The sequence below is a fragment of the Homo sapiens genome, chromosome X (genome assembly GCF_000001405.40).
Source record: "Homo sapiens chromosome X, GRCh38.p14 Primary Assembly".
Taxonomy (NCBI): domain Eukaryota; kingdom Metazoa; phylum Chordata; class Mammalia; order Primates; family Hominidae; genus Homo; species Homo sapiens.
The window spans coordinates 106607995-106629190 of record NC_000023.11 but is presented as its reverse complement, the minus strand read 5'-3'; the positions used below and the strand labels follow the sequence as shown (position 1 = coordinate 106629190).

The window sequence follows — 21196 nt, the reverse complement described above, 5'->3', positions numbered from 1 at the left end:
CAAAATCAAAAATTCTTGTTGCTATCATCCAATCAATATGCATTATGTAATACAGTCTGAAAAATCTCAAGATTTTAAAGGGTGTATTATTTGTGTATGCCAGCTATGTACTATTTTGTAAAAGGTATACAGAATAATGTACAAAATTCAATATACAAAGCCATACACATCCAGCAAATAATATATCCTTTGTTTTGCAATAGAATTTCCATCTTTATAGATTTCCATTTATTCAGTCTTTTAAAAAAATTACATTGGCTAGGCGCGGCGGCTCACGCCTGTATTACCAGCACTTCGGGAGACCAAGGCGGGTGGATCACTTGAGGTCAGGAGTTCAAGACCAGTCCGGCCAATATGGCAAAACCCTGTCTCTACTAAAAATACAAAAAGTAGCCTGGCATGGTGGTGGGCGCCTGTAATCCCAGCTACTCGGGCAGGAGAATCATTTGAACCCAGGAGGTGAAGGTTGCAGTGAGCCAAGTTTGCACCACGCCACTCCAGCCTGGGTGACATAGCAAGACTCCGTATCAAAAAAAAAAAAAAAAATTCACATATTAGTTCTAACTTGGAACTATGTGTGGAAATATGAAAAATAAACCAAGATAAATGACCCCAGTAGTTTCTCTTCCAACATGAACACCTAGAAGGCAGTGATGGTACCACAAATCCTTATTCCTTTACTGACCAACTCTCCTCCCACTATATACTGTTTCTCATTTATAATGCTCAGAACATTTAAACTCCACTGATATTTTTCCTAATCTCTGCTTAACACTTTCTCCCATGCAACACATTCTCCTACTTTACTGTCCATTCTTTCTTCAATTACATTTTTATTCATTTCCTTATCCTTTTTGTCTATTACATTTTTAATATGGTTTACTGTCATTAGTCTTTCATTTTACTCTAATTTGTTTATCTTACATAGCTGTCACCCCATTAGACTAATTTTTAAGAGTAGGACTGTATATTACTTACTTTTGCATCTCCTGTGCCTAACATGATTTACATAACTGCCTTTTTTTTTCTCTTTAAAAGATAACTAATCACCTTCCAGCCAGGTGCAGTGGCTCACACGTGTAATCCTAGCATTTTGAGAGGCCGAGGCAGGTAGATCATTTGAGGTCAGGAGTTCGAGTACAGCCTGGCCAACATGGTGAAACCTCGTCTCTACTAAAAAAACAAAAATTAGCTGGGCTTGATGGCGTGTGCCTGTAATCCCAGCTACTTGAGAGGCTGAGGCAGGAGAATCGCTGGAACCCAGGAGGTGGAGGTTGCAGTGAGCCGAGATTGCACAACTGCACTCCAGCCTGGGTGACAAAGTGAGACTCTGTCTCAAAAAATAAATAAATAAATAAATAAAAACAATAAAAAAGATAGTCACCTTTCTACTCTGTTTCTATGGGATCAGCTTTGTAGATTCCACTTATGAGTTAGATCTTACAGTATTTGTCTTTCTGTGCCTGGCTTATTTCAATTAGCATAATGTTCTCCAAGAATCTAAAAAAGTCAATCTCATAGAAAAAGAGAGTAGAAAGATGGTTACCAGAGGCTGGGGAGTGAGTGGGGAGGGATAGGGAAAAACAAGATGTTGATCAAAGGGTACAAAATTTCAGTCAGATTGCAGAAATGTCTTAGGGATCTATCGCATTGGATGGTGACTACAGTTAATAATAATGTATTATATATTTCAAAATTGCTAATAGATTCTTAATGTCCTTACCACAAAAAGTGACAATTTGGTAAGGTGATGGATATGTTGATTGAGTCTTTCTACAATGTATATACACAGATCAAAACATCACACTAGACCCCATAAATATATTTTATTATTATTTGTCAATTAAAAATAAAGAAAATGCTAGGATAAAAAGATCATTAGTCAGTTTCATGCAGGTAATGTTTAAAGATCATAAAGCCATAGTTCCCAACCTTGACTGTACCTTTGGGATCAGCTGAGGAGATTTAAACCCATAGCAATGCCTTGGTCCCATTCTCAGAGTAATTAAATCAGAATCTCTGAGGGTGGGGCACCAGTGGCTCTTTAAAGCTCCCCAAGTGATTTCAATATACAGCCAGAGTTGTAATCCACTTACACATGTAGGCTAGGCAAACTACAGGCTGCAGATGGCTGCAAGTTTTTGTAAATAAATATTTATTGGAATATTGCCATATACATTCCTTTACATACATATGGCTGCCTTCAGTCTACAAAGGCAGAGCTGAGAAGCTGAAACAGAGACCATATGGCCTGCAAAGCCTAAAATATTTACTACTTGGTGCTTTACAGAAATAGTCTATTGCTTCCTAAAAAAAGAGGGCAAAAGTCCTGTTACTTATCAAAAATATAAGGAAGAAAATAGAGACTGCTGCTAACATTAATAAGAAGTAATACTGTTTTAAAGACCAAAAGGTACATTTTAAATATATTATCACCAACGCTAACATTACTAAGAAGTAAAACTGTTTTAAAGACCAAAAGGTACATTTAAAATATATTATCACCAAGGCTATCATTTATAAAAATAATTTCTGTATCTGCAATTACTTACTTGAAAGCATAAATAATTTCTCATACCTTAGAGAGTTTCCATTATGAAAATCTGGTCCTATAATTCTATATAGCAGAGGTAGCATGCTGTAAATCAGCGTCCTCTTGCCAACTTTTACTGTGTTTTCTTAGTAAGTCACAATATCTCTATCAGTTTAGTTCCTCACCTTTCTATAGCAAAAACTAATGAGGTAATAGACTGTGTGTACCAGACTACCTAGGTAATAACTTCTTCATCTAGCAAGATCTGACCAATGTCTGCAAAACGCTTAAGATTTTAATAAATAATCATATAAGGTTTTTGCAAATAAACACAAGTTTAAGAAAACAATGAACAACTGCTACCTTTATCTGAATATTCTCTAAGTAATTAAGCTTAATGGATTAGCTGGGGAATTTAGAATACACAGAAATTCAGGTTCAGAATAAAGGTATTATAAACCAAAAACAATATTTAAACTTAAGCAATGTAATCTACAATTCTTACAAATGAAAGTGAAAAAATCACGGTCATATCTAAAAACAATTATTTAATATATTAATCTTAATGGTCCAAAAATATTTGTGATGTCAATATACCAATACTAACTAGGAAAAGCCCTTTCAAGATTGCAGCAATTGGCAAAATTTGAATACTGACTATAGGTTAGGTATTAGTATTGTATCAATTTTAAATTTCCCGATTTTGGTAATTGTACTCAGATTATGTAATAGAATGCTCTTGTTATTAGAAAATATACACTGAAATATTAATGAAGTGTTTAGGCTTAAAGGGGTATGTATGATGGCTGCCACTTTCTCTTACTGGATCACAAGGAATATATATACATACATATGTGTGTATGTGTGTGTGTGTGTAAAGATATGTATATGTATGAAGAGAGATATATAATGATAAAGCAAAGGTAAATGCTAGTAATTGTTGAATATGCGTAAAGGGTATATGGGAGTTCTCTATACCATTCTTTCAACTTTTATGTAAGTCTGAAATTATTTCAAAAAGTTAACAGAAGTTCTTTTTAGATAGCACCTACTAGTAAGTGCAAAATATATTCGTTATTAACTTAATATTATATGACCAAAAATAAAATAAAACAAAATAAGTACAATCCAAGTGGAGCTCATTCTTCAATCAACAATAAATGTCTCAGATAATTTTTCTTAATAAATAAAATAATAAATAGGTATATTTATTAGGTTATGTGATTGCTTGAAAATTTTATGGACAAATAAATTTAAAGGTTTCATAGGTTCTAACAGCTTCAGTAATTTTTGTGGTCTTTTTTCCTAATATGGTACATTGCAAATTTATATAAACAAAACAGCGATAAGACAACAAATTCATGGAATACTTAACCCATTGTAGAAATTAGTTTGATCTGTGGATCCACGGGGACAGGCTGTATTCTGAATGGATAACTCTTTTTAACAGAATAGTCTTGAAGCAGAAGAACTAAACCAACCCGCAAACTTTTATACCACTCAGGACACAGGGCATTCCACATAATCACTGACACTGTGCCTGAACTGTCAGCAACTTCCAAAAAGGTCTAGAAAGAAAATGAGTAAAAGCACATACATATTTGTCACTTTTATCTGTACAGATAATATATAGCATATTATTTGTGATCATTTAGAGTGATGGAAAATAACATCTAAATTTTAATTATTTATTAATAATGATTCAGTTGTCAATTTTGCTAATATTGATCATCTAAAGATTAGAGATAGAGAAATGTATTGAGGTGGAAAGTATTTGGAGTTTTTCTCAGTATTAAAATACAGTGACAGACAACTTCAGTTGGGCCTAAAAGGCAGTCCGTAAAGTGTTTTCTAATTCTTAATTTCTTCTTAAATAATGATGTTATATTCTCAGACCCTTTCTCTAAATGATGAATATACATTTTGGGTAATTCATTCCTTTATTCATTAAACATTTACTGAATCCATATTCCAGAGATTATGTTAGGCCCTGGAATGCAGAGATGAATCAAACATTGTACCTAATAATAATAGCTAAAATATATATAGGACTTGCTATGTGCCTGGAACATAGGTAAATCCTTTACTAATTCAATCCTCACATCAATCCTGTAAGGTAAGTACAATTAGTATCCATATTTTACAGATGAGTAAACTGAGGCTTTAAAAGGATAAATAATTTTCCCTACATCATAAAGGTAAGAAATGGTAAACAGCTGAAACTTGAATTCAGTTCATATGACCACAGGGCATGCACTCTTAAGCACTGTTAGATACTTCTTCCCTACAGTCAGGGAGCGCACAGTAGAGTAAGATTAGCAAATCTATTAACAGGTATGTGTAACTGGGTTATGCATGCTCTGATAGACCTATGTAAGGGCATATAGTGGGGTCCTGAGTAGCATGTAGTTGATTCTCCCAGTGACTAGGCATATGGGTATACATGGAAAGACTTAAATCAGAGGTAAGCACTGAACTGAATCTTAAAGATGGCTTTGCCAATCTGATGAGAAGTGAGAGGAAGAGGATTCTAGGCAGAAGAAACAACGTGAGCAGAGGTATGAAAGGTAGAAAACAATTGGTTACTGTTAGAACATTCCAGGTAGGGCAATTTGGTTAGTATGAAGCATAGAGAGCTCAGGAAGAGATGAGACTGGAGAGGCAAGCAAGGGCGAAATGATGGAGGCACAAAGAGGTAGGAAGGCAACAAATAAGCGGAGTTAAAAAATCAGGGAGGAAAGTATTGCAACAATGAGAAGGCAAAAAACTATCGGGGAATGACTGAATAATTTATGATAGAATGTGCTAAAAATATATAACTGTAAAGTATTATGGATGAAGAATTTTTAGTGATATGAGAAAATATTTAAGAAAATGTTAAACGACACAAAATTGTATGCACAATATGGTTCCCATTTTGTAAAATAATGTAATGTGATATATGATATACACACTCACATGAAATATATAATACATCTACATATGCACATATATGTGATATATATGATTAAATATCATAGATATGTGTATGTATATATATATATGATATGCTTGTATATGTGTATATATGTGATTTACACACACAAGAAAGGGAATAAAACACACCATGTTAACAGTGGCTCTCTCTGAGTGGTAAGATCTTCAAACAGCTTTCTACATTTTCCAAATTCCCTACAATAAGCATGTATAACTTTCATAATAAAAGTTTAATGAAACATCTAAAATAGTTCTTGATATCATGGGAAAGTACAATATAATATTAAGTAAGAAAAAAATAGAACACAAACATATCAAGAAAGTAGAGCTCATGAGCATTATATGGCACAGAGAGTCAAGACAATAGAGAAGTATCACACAGATTTGACAATTAGAGTTACTAGTGAATGATAAGCTAAGGAAAAAAGCCAAGCTAACTGTGTTGAGAAATGGGAGGCAAGAAAGTAAAAACATCTAGTGTAGACTACTTCTTCAAGAAGCTTACCTGAAGAGAAAGATAGGGAATAGAAGAGTCATAAGGCCAAAGGAGATTCTTTTCTTTTCTTTTTTTAAATGGGAGACTAGAGTATGTTTATATATTGGCACAGAAAGCATAGGTGAGAAGAAAAGGTTGAAGGAAAATAAAAAGGTGGGAAGGAGACCACCTGGATCAGGGAAATAAAGGGCACCAATACAGAAATAATTTCTTTTTGTACAATAAATTATGCAGAAAAATACTTTATAATATACATTTACGTACATTTAAAAATTATTACATTGAACTTATGAAATGTTATTTAAACGAACAGGTTATCATACTATGGAGTGAGGTGTGTAAGCTATAATTTATAACTTTTAAATTAACATATGATATCTTATTACTTGTACCTGATATGGTTCAATCATCTTTTTATCAGGTTTTCCATAGTATCGCAGTTTTGATTTATGTAAGATCCTCACAAGCAATGCAGGAAAATTTCTTCTGTTAGTCCAGGTCATTTCAAGATGAGAAAGGGAAATTATTTTGGTATCTAGAATATAAAAAAGAGGAAAGAAATCCTGTTTAACATGTAATGGTAACTTCAAAGATCTATTTTAATGGTTAAAAATAGTAGCTTGATCATACCTAAAGTGACTCCTTCTTGCCAGCTAAACCTTGCCAGCTAAGTCTATTACCTCTCATAAACTACATTTGATCCCTAATATTAACAGCTGAAATATATATAGGGCTTACTATGTGCCTGGAACATAGGTAAACACCTATATTAACCAACACATTGTCCCACCTAGAATGCCCTCCATCTTACCAAACCATTTAATAACTTCCTGGAAAACCTGGATTTAAACTCACCTCCCTTAAGATATTTTGTGAAAAAAAAAACCTCAATGTCATGGAATATTTTTCCCATTACTAAGCACTTATATATTTAATTTATAGAAATGGGCCAGGTGCAGTGGCTAATGCCTATAATCTGAGCACTTCAGGAGGGCAAGACCATCAGCTTGCTTGTGCCGAGGAGTTTGAGACCAGCCTGGGCAACATGGCAAAACCCCCATGTCTCTCCAAAAAGACAAAAATTAGCTGGGCCTGGTGGCATGTGCCTATAGCTCCAGCTACTCAAGAGGCTGAAGTGGGAGGATCACCTGAGCCCAGGCAGCTGAGCTCACTGCAGCCAGGCTGCAGTGAACCATGATCACACCACTGCATTCCAGCCTGAGCAATTGAGAGCCTGTCTCAAAAAAAAAAAAAAAAAAACCATAGAATTGTTTTATTACACATTTTTTGTATTGCCTTCACCTCAGTTTCATATGTATAAATTCTATCTCCCGCAAACATGACAGACATGGCCCTGTATCAGGACCTTTGCAATTGCTGTCTTCCCTTTATATATCCAAATGACTTTCTCCCTCCTCTCTTCAAGTTTTGCTCAAATATCACCTTCTCAGTGATATTATCCCTAACCATCCTATTAAAAACTGACCCCTTTACTTATCCTCCATTCCACTTTACTTTTCTACATTGCACTTACTATCTTCTCATATGCCATATAATTTACTTAGAAATGTTTTTATCTGCAAGCTTGCTGGCAAGTTCAAAAACTGCTAAAAAGCTATTCATCAACTTAAAGAATTAATTTGTAATACTGATGTATTCTTCCTTGGATTAAGAGAGGTTCCACCTGCAATTGTCTCCACATTTTTCTCTCTCACAGCCCACAGTTTCAACTATTAAGACTTGAATCTGCATTAGTACGAGTATTTCTTTTGCTAAGGGTCCCTTCATTTCTAGCTTTGTTCAAATAATTTTTTACCTAGTCAACATTTTTGACACAAAAATCACACTTGTAATTTCTTTTTAATAAGGGATTAAGTGGTATTATATAATTATGTCTATACTATAAAACACACACAATTTTTAGTATTAGGATACTCTGTAATTTTCCTTCCAGATTCTCCCAATAGATTACTATCCCAGGATCACAGGTCCTAACATTTGATCTGATATAATTAAGTGATTTCATTTTAACGTCAGACGAATCTCAGATCAGCTTTGAGTTGTCTGGGATGTACATGGAACATTCTTGATCAATAAAGGCACATAGAGCTCCTTTATTGTCTGGAATAAATTCAAGAGCTACATAGTTTTGTAAAAGCAGAGTTCTAAGAGCCTCTGTTTCTGTTATAATTAGGTCCAGAGAGTTAGCTGTAATCAGACATCTTTCTGGTTAACATTTTTCCCAGTTAGAGTTTTTAACTCACAAACTTCATGGAATACACATTTTATCTCTCAAATCTAAAAAAGAATTAGAGGCTGTTTACAGACAATGAAGAATTTGTGTAAATTCATAGTAATAAATGTGTTCATTATCAAAAAAGAAATAATGAAAATAAACTGGTTATTCAATATGCAATAGAACAGTGATTCTCAAAATGTTTTGGTCTCAGGATCCCTATACATTCTTAAAAATTATTGAAGATCTTGAAGAGCTATTTTTTTTTCTTTTGTTAAGATGGAGTCTCACTCTGTTGCTCAGGCTGGAGTGCTGTGGTGTGATCTCAGGTCACTGCAACCTCCACCTCCCGGGTTTAAGTGATTCTCCTGCCTCAGCCTCCTGAGTAGCTGGGACTATAAGCATGCACCACAATGCCCGGCTAACTTTTGTATTTTTTAGTAGAGACGGGGTTTCACCATGTTGGCCAGGCTGGTCTCGAACTCCTGACCTCAAGTGATCCGCCTGCCTCAGACTCCCAAAGTGCTGAGATTACAAGCGTGAGCCACCGTGCCCATCCTGAAGAGCTTTTTACTGTACTATAAAGTAGACTAAGAATTTTTTAAATGATCAATTCATTAAAAATAGCAATAATAAACTGATATGTATAATTATAAATAACATTTTTTTTGAAAAATGACTATATTTTCCAAAACCAAAAAATAATGTAGTGAGAAGCGTGGCATTGTTTTGCATTTCTGCAAATCTTGTTAGTATCTAGCTTAATAAATGACAGGTGGATATTCATATCTTCTTTGATACTCAGTTTGCTTTTATGTCACACGTCATTTAGCCCCTGGAAAACTACACTGTACACTTGCGAGAGCATAAGAGTGAAAAAAGGTAAGTAAAGCCTTAGTATTGTGAAAATAGCTTTGACCTCATGAATCCTCTGAAAATGTCTTGGGGCACCACTAGAGGTCCCTGGACCATACCGTAAAAATCATAGCAGAAGAATAAATCTAAGGAATGCAGAAGGAATAAAAATTAAAGCTAAAAATAATGAATCAGAAAACACTATACCACAATAAAAAATAGAATTGATAAATTCAATTCTCTGGAAAAATTAATAAAAAGGTAAATCTTTGGCAAGTCTAATCATGAAAAAGAAAACAAAAATGTAATACTCAGAATGTAAACAAATATACACACAAATAAAAATTGTTAAAAGATTATTATGTATGATTTTATATCAATAAATTTGAAAAGATCAGTGAAATAGATAATTTCTTAGAAAAATATGAATTACCATTATTGCCATAAGAAGCAAAAGAAAACCAAACTAGGTCCTTAACCGTGGAAGAAAATGAAAAAAGTTTATGAATGATGGCTTCCAAAACTGGCAGCAGGTTCACATTGTTTTATAAGAAAATTCTAACAAATTTCAAAGAACAGCTCTTTCCCTGAGCTATAAATTGTCCCAGAGCCTAATAAAGTATAGAAATTGTACCACTTTGCTTTATAAACTTAGAACAATCCTGAAAAATTCCAACAGAAATAGTACAAGAAAGAAAACTATAAACCAAAAATCAGTTATGATGGCAAAAACCCTAAATACAATACTTATTTAGAAGCATGCACAAAGACAACTGTGCCATGATCAAGTGGAGTCCTAAATATCTTCTCTTATTCAGTAGGGGTGTATTATATATTTTGAATAATTCTGGAGACGGAAACAGAAATGTAAGTTTAAATAATTTTGTTAAAACATTAATACATGTACCCCATATATATCTACACCTACTATGTACCCATAAAATTTTTTAAAAAAACATTCAGTAACAACTAGGAGACTAGGAGAATACAAATACAATGTATGATTTCCAAACTACTAGAAGAAAAAGAAAATTTTAATCCCGCAAAAGTAAAAAAAAAAAATAAGGTGGCATATGGTAAACATAAAGTAGAATTTCAAGAACAGGTACAAACACCATTATTCACATTAAATTTAGATAAATTAAATTGATCTCTTAAAAGAAAAATAATTGGTTTGGATCAAAAGGCAGTCTTAGCTATATACTTTTTAAAAGAGACAACCCTAAAACAAAATGGAAATAAAGGGATGGACAAGCATACACTAAGGCCAGTGGTTCTCTTTTTTTATTTTTTGAGACAAGGTCTCACTCTTTTGGTCCAGGCTGGAGTGCAGTGGCATGATCAAGGCTCAGTGCAGCCTCAACCTCCCGGACTCAGGCTCCCCCGACTCCACCCCTGCACCAAGTAGCCGGGATTACAGGCACAAATTCATGCCCCGGCTAAGGTATTTTTATTAAAGATGGGGTTTCGCCATGTTGCCTCGGCTGGTCTAGGCTGGTCTGGACCTAGGCTGGTCTCAACATGGACTCTGAACTCAAGCAATCCGCTCGCCGTGGTCTCCCAAAATGCTAGGATTACAGGCATGAGCCACCGTGACCGGCTTGCCAGTGGTTCTCAAAGTGTGGTCTCTGTACCAATAGCATTGTTACCATCAGTGAACATGTTCGAAATGTAAATTCTAGGGCCCTACCCCAGACCTAATGAATCATACACTGGGAATGGTGGTCAGCAATCTGTATTTTGTTTTATTTCTGTATTTTTGCATTACTGAATTACTGTAGTCATTTTTTAAATAATTACACTCCAGCCTAACGGCCTTTCTTTACTGTTTTCCGTCTTTCAAATCCATTAAAAAAAACGACAAAACTGATTTAAACAATCATGTTGGAAACTAGATGTTGTGATAACTTATTGTGCATCAATTCATTTTGATTATATGCTTTCATGACTTTCATGTATTCTGTTTAGCTTTTTGGGGTCTTCTTTGACATTTCAAGTGAGAATTTTACTGAGACGGTAATATCTTTAAACCCCTCTCTTTTATTTTCATGGCATGCAATTGGCATTTCTTTTTTGCTTCAACATTTGAAACATACTGCCTTAATAATTTCTTTAAGTTTTGGTGTATTCTTTATCTTTGCAACCTTTTCCAAATCTTTTTTTCTGCATAAATTTTTTTTCTCTGATTTTTGTAAGTGTAATTTGAACTTGTTAGCACCGGGATGCTTATTTGTCTCCAATTCCCATTGCTCATTTTTGCCCCATCCATTTTTTTGCAGTGTTTCTTGATATTATTTGTGAATTCTTAGAGTAAGGAAGCACTTAAGTTATTTTTCTGACTGGCACTCTTGAGGTGATATGCATGCCTACTCACATTTGAGTATCATTGTCCTAATATGCTACCAAAAAGACTGTGGAAGTGGCAAACATTACTATTAGGGAAAATAGAATTCAAGGCAAAAGGTACAAAGAGGCAAATTCCATATTGATAAAGTGTAAAACTCAACAATAATACATTAATCAGTTATGAAATTGCACACGTTATAGTAACATCTAAAGCAAAACCTTTTAGAAATATAAGGAGAAATAAATGCAACTATCATCATAGAGAGAAGCCAATATTCCTCTGAGAAATGGGCAAATAAAGTAGATTAAAAATAAGGATCTGGAATATGTGAATTACATTTTTAAAAACCTGGTATAATAATAAACTTTAAACCTAATAAATAAGCTTTTTCTGAACTTTCAGAGATTAAAGAAGCAAAAAAGAGCCGGGCACAGTGGCTCACGGCTGTAATCCCAGCACTTTGGGAAGCTGAGGTGGGTGGATCACCTGAGGTCAGGAGTTTGAGACCAGCCTGGCCAACATGGTGAAACCCCGTCTCTATTGAAAATACAAAAGTTAGCCAGGTGTGGTGGTGTGCCTGTAGTCCCAGCTACTCAGGTGGCTGAAGCAGGAGAATCGCTGCTGGAGAACCCGGGAGGCGAAGGTTGCAGTGAGCCGAGATCACGCCAGTGATCCAGCCTGGGAAACAGAATGAGACTCTGTCAAAAAAAAAAAAAAAAAAAAAAAACCCACACACACAAAAAAAACAAAGAAATGCCAATTGCAAGCCAAGAAAATAAAAGAGAGGGGTTTAAAGATATTACCATCTCTGTAAAATTATCACTTGAAATGGCAGAGAAGACCCCCAAAAGTGAAAATATCAGTGAAATTTAGACTCCAAAAGGCTAAATAGAATACAGGACGGTAATGAAAGTATATAATCAAAATGAATTGATGCACATTAAGTTATCACAACATCTAGTTTCCGACATGGTTGTTTAAATCAGCTTTGTCATTTTTTTAATGGATTTGAAAGATGGAAAACACTAAAGAAAAACCATTGGGTTGGAGTGTAATTATTTCAAAAGTGATTACAATAATTCAATAATGCATAAATACAAAATAAAACAAGATAAAATAAGAAAATATAAATAACGAGTAACAATAAAATCTCTATACTTCCAAACCTGGGGGATGCAGCCTAAGCAATATCCATGGGAAATTTCAGAATTTTAAATGCTTTTGGAAGAAATAAACAAGGAAATATATGAACCAAGCATTTAACTCAAGAAAGTAGTACAAGAAAAATATGAACAAAGGAAGTACGTAAAAGAAATTAAAGATAATAGCAGAAATTAAGTAGAAAACATCTCCTCATTATAGATTTTGTTATTAGTAAAACCAAGTGTCTTAAAAAACACCAACAATAAGACTAATAAACTTCTGGCAAGGCTCACCATAAGAAAAGGTGAACACACAAACATGAGGATTGTGAAAAGAGTCATGATTGACAAGATAGGTCAAAAAACATAGATTACTACGTACAACTTTGAGATCTAGGTGAAATGAGTTTTCCTAGTGAATTACCAACTCTCAGAAATGGGCTCTTGAAAAAGCATTATTGGTTTAATCACTTTTTCTAAAAGAAATTGAAAAAGAGGCATCCCCCCACAACCCCCAATCCAGGCCCAAGACAACAGGTTCAGATAGTTTTAGAGAGGAATTTTACTAAGTCTTTAAGGAACATATAATTTCTGTAAGTACAGAAAGACGGGCAAGCTTTCCAACTCATTCCACTAGGCTAATATTAACGCCATATAAAAATTGCATTGAAAAAGTACTCTCCCTGCAAAAAACAAAAATAAAAACCAAATCTGTAGACCAAATTCACTTAGACAGATGTAAAAATAATCGTGACCAAGTGGGAATTCAAAAGTGGCTCAACATTAGTAAAAACATCAATTTATTTCATTCATTCTTTTATTCAACAAATACTGAATGCCTACTATGTGCCAGTCATTGTTCTAGCTGTAAGATATGGCCCACAGAAATGAAAAAAAAAAAGAGTTGTGGATCTTATAAAAATGTAAGAGAGGAAAGAAAAACAGCTAAAGAAAATAATTTCAGAATGCTATGATTCTATGAAGATCATTTGCAAGGTGGTATAATAAGAATAAATGGGGGAGGAAATATTTATTTAAAAGGCACTTTTAAAATGTTTTTATTTGAGCTGAAACTGGAAGATGGGAAGAAACTTTCCAGAAAGAGGAAAAAGCAAGTGCAGGAAAAAGACTGGAGGTTTGAGGATCAAAAAGAAGGCTGGTTGCTAGAACAAAATGGTGGAGGAGGGGGGTTAGAGATTCGAGAGGTGAGTAAGGGATTCTGTAGGGCAGGGGTCAGCAAATTATACAGCCCACAAGCCAAATCTTGCCTGTTGCTTGTTTTTGTAAATGAAGTTCTATTGCAACACGGCCAGACCCATTCATTTACATACCGCTTGTGGCTGCTTTCCATATACAATGGCAAAAGTGAATGGTTGTGACAGAGATCATGTCTGGAAAGACAAAAAGATTTACTGTTTGGCTCTTTACTGAAAGTTCGCCATCCTCCGCAGTACGGCCTGCCTTCCAGACCCCGGTAGAGTTTGGGTTGCTGCCTAAATGCAATGGGAGCCACCTGAGAGATTTAGGCAGGAGGGTGTGGCACAGGCTAACTTCTATTTTTAAAAGCTATATTTGAGGTTACAATATGTGTTACCCTTCAGATAGGGTACTGACCAGGAGGAGGCATGAGGGAGACTTTTGGGGTAACAAGATACAGAAATGTTCTATATCTTAAAGGGAGGGGGGTGATGGTTACACAGGTATATGTACGTGAAAATTTATCAAGCTGTATTTTTAAAACCTTTTTTTTTTACTGTGTACAAGGTAAACTTTAATGAAAAGTTTCAAAAGCACAAACGTGTGCCATAAACAAAGTTAAGAGAAAAAGAACAGAATGAAAGAAAATAATTTGCAGTATATAGCAGACAAAATTTTAATACCCATTAGCAAAGGAATCCTATAAATTAATTAGAAAAATGTCAAAAGATGTATTTAAAAATAGTAAGATATGGGGAAATGGGCATTCTCATATGTATGTTGGTAAATGTAAATTAGTACAACCTTTTCAGAAGATGATCTGTCTATATCCACAAAATTAAAAAAATTAAATACCTTTTAAGCCAGCAATTTCGCCAGAGGAAGCCGTTCAACAGCAATGCTTGAACATAGTAAACAAAAATATGTGTACATTCTAATGATGCTTATCATTGTATGTAATACTAAAACACTAATAAGTGCCTAAAACTACAAATTACCTATTCACATGGGCATGATTATAGAAATTATGGCACACCCATGCTATGGAATATTGTATGTACAGATGTACATGAAAGATGCCTGAGATGTGTTCAGTGGAAATAGCAAATCACACAATGCGACATTAATTCCTTTTTTTTAAAAAAATACACAACAAACTGCTGACAATTTGAGATTTTTAGAAGAAAGGTGAAGGCACTAGGGAAGGTGAAAGAGGTCTTTCACTTCTCCCTAATATTTTATTATTAACAATTTGAAACATATAGCAAAACTGAATAAATTTTACAGTGAACATCAATATGCCCACTTCCTAGATTTTATCACTAACATTTTACTATACTTTGGTGGTATATTTCTAACACAATATACTTTCAAATATACAGATTGGGTTTTATTTTGGCATACAGACATTGCCTTTTGTATTATAAATATGGTTTTAATGAATGAATAGATATTACGACAAAATACATTTTACAAAGTATTAATCCCCTCAACTTTTCTTGTAGGGCACCAGTTTTTCATTTACATATTCAATTCTAAAAATTAAAGTGATCAACATTTAGAGTAGTAATGCACTACTGCCTTATTTCACACTTGAGATAAAATCACTCCATTTTTTCATCCCTGAAATAGCTATCTTGCTTTTTAAAATTTAGTTATTTAAAATATCCTTACCTACACATTTCTATAACATCTTTTTTCCTTACAACTGGATGTGACTATAATTGCATGGTTTTTGAGCTAGTTATTCTTTTACTTTCAAGTTTGTTGCTCTTACACGTCACAGTAAGATTATCCGTGATTTAGCATTGTGACAACATTGTAAAAGGGACTGAAAAGCAGTAATGTAGAAAATTATAGTCTTTCTCCTTCCAGTACTTTCTCTTATTTTATTTTTTGCATTTTATTTCTTTCCCCATTTCAAACGTGTTCATGCCTACAGTACTATCATTCCCCTTAATTTCATCTGTTAGAGAAAAAAAACGTATTTTAGAGCAGTTGCTGATGGCAAGCTAGTGTTTTCAAGCTAACTTCCTACTTCTGATACAGAAAAATTGAAGTTCCCAGATCAGTACTCTTTGTGGTGAGTAATAAGAAACAAGAAAATGAGAATGTCAAGCCTTCCCATAAAAATCACACCGTTAAAAGGTGATATTTACATAACTGTTACACGGCGTTTCAATCAATGTAAAGTATTAAGGAATACATCACGGAGCATCCTTTTTGAATGAAGATTAAAACATGCAAACCCGCAAATTTTTACAACCTTTATGCTAAATTCAAATCTATAAGCTCTTCAACCGACACAACGTACTATTTCCACAACTGGATTGGGAATAAAACTAAGATTAATTCCACCACAATCAAACATGTAACGAACGTATGAGGAATACTGACTCCCACATCAGTACGTTTGCCAGACTGAATTTTAAGATGTAGTCAAACACACTTCCTGAATTGGCCACTTTTGCAATCAAAGAAACAAACAAACAAAAAACACCAACAAAAACCACTGGCTGTGCAAATTTCATTGAGCATCCCTTGGTCATTTAAGAAAACTTGTCTACCTACCACTCCTGGCTTGTAATTAACAATACAAAAGCATTTTCATTTCCTTTCCCGTTCACGCAAGCTCCTGAAAACTATTTTTTTTAAAACCCTCTGCCGTTCTTTCCAAACACTTACCGCTAAAGTTGTGTTCCTCAGGTTGCTTGTCTGTTAACCAGATATCTCCATAGGGATCTTCGTTATTCCACAGCGCCAGGTAATGACTCTTCCCGCCTCTTAAAGGCCTCTCTGGTTTCTCCTGGTGCGCTCTATTTCTGAAGGGAGTTTCTAAAGAAATACTGTCTGAAGTCTCCCCACAGTGGACGTTATCTATGCACAGGATCCCCTGGCCTATCCTTTTCTCATTGTAAAGACATGAGACCCTGGAAATTCTCATTTGAATGCCAACTTTAAGAATATTTTGATATACGAGAGAGTTCAAGCTGGGGTCCAGGTAGCACTTCTCCTGGTACACCCCATCTGAGATCGTCACATCATAGCAATAAAGGGGAGGCTTGGGCACCGTGTCGCGTGGCTCATCCTCTAACAGGTACCTCTGGACGGCCAGCACAGTTACAGGCACCACCTCCGAGGGGGTGACACACTGGCGAGGTGAGTCCATAATCTGCTCAAGAACCTTTTGGATCCAGGACCTGGGCCCTTGGGAACCAGCTCTTCGGATCACCCCTCCCGGGACCCCAGCCCGATTCCTCTCAGGGTTCGGCCAATCTAGCCCTGCATGTGAGGGACCAGCCTCAGGCTGTCCTGACTCACCAGACATTGTTGGATAACTGCGTACCCGCTTCACTCCCAAAAGCTAGTTTGCCCCGTCCAAAGCGGAGAGAAATAAAACCGCGCGCTTTGGCGACGATCGCTACTCTGCCCCTGCTGACAGGCAAGACTCCGCCCCGTAGCGAGGCTGCAAAGACTTTACGCGTGCGCGCGCCAGCTCTCCCACCCCGCCCCTCGCTCCGAGCGCTTCCGACTCGAGACACTGTTACTAGGCAGTCACACGCGCGAGTTACGTAGCAGGTCGTCCGACCTTGTGCCCGCCGGGTTGCCGTCTGGGGGAGGGATGACAGGGGAAGGGGAGGGGGAATCGGTGGTTGTCATGGTTCTCAAAGAGGGAGGGGGAGAGCGCTTGTGGTCCCCTGGAAAGGAGGATGCCTAGAGGCAAGGGAAAAGAGAAAGTGGCAAGAATCAGGGTGCAGAGTCAAAGCTCAGGGATTTGGGGGTTTGGGCTTTGGGCCAGGAACAGAAAGTAATTTAGAGTTGGTTAACATATGTTAATGTTATAACATGGGTTTCCTGTAGTATGAACAAAACCAGATAATTTATGCAGAGCCTCCAGGACAGACTCTAGCACAAAAAGTCCTCAGTAAACATTAGCTGCTATTGCGATTAGCATTAGCATAATTATCTGTAGTGGCTCCCTGAGTGTAGGGTGGGTGAATTAGTGTTTAAGTGCAAATGAAAATAGAAAACTAGAACTGGCTTGTAAAGGGCTGCCTTTAGATTAGACTTCTTAAAATGCAGCTAGTTTTAATATAATACCTGGCCTAATATACATCTAGGGTAGAGATTTCAGAAACTTTGTTTAATGTTTGTTTGTTTAATGCAAGGCATATATCAGGAACGAATGTAAAGTGAAAAAGCTGATAAGAATAGTAAAAATTAAGGATAAAATATTTAATAGATGTACTTAGATCCAGTATACATAGAAGGGAGTAATTGTTCTAAGAATACTTTTTAAGATGGTTATGAGCTGATTTTGTTTATACTAATTTCCTTTGGCTCTCTATTTTATCATTCTTTATTCACTATTTATGAAGTCTCTATATGAGGTAGGCACTGTTTTAGGCCACTGGGGATAACTGTAGTCAGGGTCCTTCCCTCAAGTTTCTTCTCATTGCTTGGGCTAAAGAGCCCTGCCGTTATTAATACTTAACTAATTTACTCATTCTATACAGATTTCTTGAGTGTCTGGTCTGGGCAGGGTATAGCCTTGCTAGGGAGACCAAAAAACATAGTAAGGGGAAATAAAGTGGAGGGAACAGGAGTTAATATTTTATAAAAAGTATGATTACAGAAAGGTTCTCTAGTAAGAGACTGAACAGAACAGAGATGTGCAGGAAGTGAGGAAGTGAGCTATGTGGATATCTAGGGGAATGGCACTTGAATCAGAGAAAACAAGAAGAATAAATTCCATGAGACAGAAGCATACTTGATATTTTCAAGGAAATGCATAAGCCAATCAGCCGCAGTGGAGGGGCGAGGGGGAGAGTGGTAGGAGGTGAGGTCAGAGAGGTAGCAGGGTTTCTTCTATTATGAGCAAAGGAGTGACATGACACTTAGTCTTGAACCCCACTTCCTTCATGATGCCTCCCCTCACCAATTCAGTCTAGGATAATCTTTCTCTTCTCTGTATCACCTTGTATCACTCATTTGATACTTATCATCTAATACTTGCAGTTAAAAAAAAAAAACTTAATGTATGCGTAACTCAGAGTTTCTCAACATGGGCACTCTTGATTCTTTGGGCCAGAAAGTTTTTTGTTGTGGGCTGTCTTGTGCACTGTAGGATGCTTAGCAGCATCTCTGGCCTCTACCCATTAGATACCTGTAGCACCTCCCCCTCCAGTTGTGAGAACCAGAAATATCTCCAGACATTGCCAAATGTCCCCTGGGGTAGCAAAGTCGCTACAAGTTGGAACACCCGATTATGATCTGCATTAACTAGATCTTAAACTTTTCGAAAGCAGAAACTGATTTGTTCTTTCACTACTGCTATGCATAAAAGGCACTCAAATATTTTAAATAAGTAAAACATATAATTCCCAGTGCCTCTCTACCAAAGGGAATATACAAGTGTGGCTTTCCATAAACAAACAAATGCAATATACAAAAATCCAAATTTACCAAACATAAAATAAGTTGCCTGAGTGTAGGTACTTTGTTATGTAAACTGCAGAATCTCCAGTGGCAAAATAAGTATCTAGCATATAGTAGGTACTCAATAGTTTTGTTGAATGAATAAATGAAATTATGGATTTGTATTGCATTTACTGTAGGGGTCATTAAATGTCGACTATCTCTGTTGTTTATCAAAGGAGAATGTGTTTGAAATATTTCAAATCTATTCCATCAGCAGCCCCTAAACTATATATGCTCAGTGAAATTTATGACTAATAGTATTGTCTCATCACATTCTGTGTCCTTCCAGCTAATTCATGAAAGATGGATATTAGCAGTGGTGCTTAGTATTTGGATAATTACTGGAATTGGGAAGAAATAGCACTAATGTTTAGTTTTACACTACTACTAACAACGATGTATGGTGACTGTGGGCACACATTTGGAGACTTATATTGCTCTACTGACAATCTGCTGATAGTGTGCAGCTCCCCAAGAATTAATTTGCCTACTTGAGTAGTGGTCACACCTGTGAAAGTATGAATGCTCTCTGATTTGGCGTTACTAAGCACCTGTTTTAGGATCAATTTCACAATAATAGAAAAAGTAAAGGATATGACCTTCAAAGCCAGTAATGAGTATTATTAAGGTTATTGATCTTTTTCTCCTCTCAGATCTGGAAGGTTTATTACAGTGCCTTCCAGGGTTTAAAATGGTAAAAGTAGGCAAAACAGAATTTTATAAAATGGAATGTTCTAAGATATTCAAAACACCTTAAATACATTATGAAATGTATTTTGGTTGTCCACTAAATTTGGTGCAGCTATAAGCCACATTGATTTTCTTCATCTTTAAAATTGAACTAATAAAAGTAGTCATAGTTGTTGAAAAAATTAAGTTAGTTCATATGGGCAAAGTGCTTAAAACAATACCTGGCACATAGTAAGAGCTCAATAATTACTAGCTATTGTTACTATTATTCTAAAAGGAAGATAAAGACATAACATAAAATGATAGAATGCTAGAACTATAGGGAGCCATTAGATGCCCACAGTTGTGTTCTTCAGACTGTGGATTGTGAAACATTAATGAGGCTATGAAGTCAATTTATTGGGTCACAACTAGCAATTAAAAATACGTAAAAATAACAGCACAGAAAATATCAGGGTACATCACACATAGTAAGGGTAAGAATTGCTTTGTAAAATTTTTGTGTTAGATTTGATGTATGTATATGTGCATACTGGGTTGTGATGTAAACTGTATTTCTTACTATAGGTTTGGCCAAAATGTTTAAAAACAACTTCTATAGCTCAACTATCTTTTATTATAAATGAAGAAACTCAGGCCTAGAAAGGGGGATGAACATGAACAAGATAACAGTGTGATAAGTGGCAGAGCATAAGGCTTTCCCTGATGTTAGGTAGGACAGATCCTGCATTATCTTCCAAACATTTCAATTTTTTTGTTTGAAGAACCTTGTTTTTTTCTATCATCACATTCACTTAACAGTCCTTTCATTCATTTGCCTAGATAGGCAAATTAGCATAATTCTCCAGCCTTGGACATTGGAGGTACACATACAGGTTCATCAAATTCATAAGATTATGAGAGTGTGGGTGGAGTTGTGGGGGAGGAAGGAAAAGAAGTGGCATGACTAGTTGGTGCTAAAAGGATGTGGAGAGTTCGGCTGCTATCTCAAAGAGTATTTAGGTAAGCTCTCCAAACATCACCACGGTAACAAGAGAGGGCCTGAGGGTGGCTGCCTGGCAACGAGAGCACTACAACCTCCAGCGCAGTGCTGCCCTTTTCCAACATCTTTCCCTTTTAAGGCTGCTCTTGATGATTTTATTAACTAAATTGCCGCTATATACAAGGATAGATCTGTATAGCTTATAATACCCCATAGCTCATCGGAATCAAGGTTGCTCCTATGTTATCTTTCTATCAGATG

General features: G+C 35.8%; 1 protein-coding gene across 3 annotated transcripts in view, besides 2 other annotated features; it reads right to left on the bottom strand.

The window, feature by feature from the left end:
- The window catches only part of RADX (RPA1 related single stranded DNA binding protein, X-linked), a 67462-nt gene extending 50249 nt beyond the window's left edge, over positions 1-17213 (bottom strand). For all 3 annotated transcript variants that reach the window (NM_018015.6, NM_001184782.2, XM_047442233.1), the window contains exons 1-3: positions 16468-17213; positions 6398-6540; positions 3909-4101 (exon numbers count right to left, since the gene is read on the bottom strand). In NM_018015.6, coding sequence (NP_060485.4) covers positions 3909-4101; positions 6398-6540; positions 16468-17110 — 979 coding nt within the window. In that variant the 5' untranslated portion in view covers positions 17111-17213. The remainder of the gene's footprint in view (positions 1-3908; positions 4102-6397; positions 6541-16467) is intronic.
- Positions 16649-16988: an enhancer, noted in NCBI's record as "active region_29829". NCBI's record gives its function as "activates an Ori minimal core promoter by ATAC-STARR-seq in GM12878 lymphoblastoid cells {active_cell/tissue: GM12878}" and the evidence as "EXISTENCE:reporter gene assay evidence [ECO:0000049][PMID:35858748]".
- Positions 17029-17218: an enhancer, noted in NCBI's record as "active region_29828". NCBI's record gives its function as "activates an Ori minimal core promoter by ATAC-STARR-seq in GM12878 lymphoblastoid cells {active_cell/tissue: GM12878}" and the evidence as "EXISTENCE:reporter gene assay evidence [ECO:0000049][PMID:35858748]".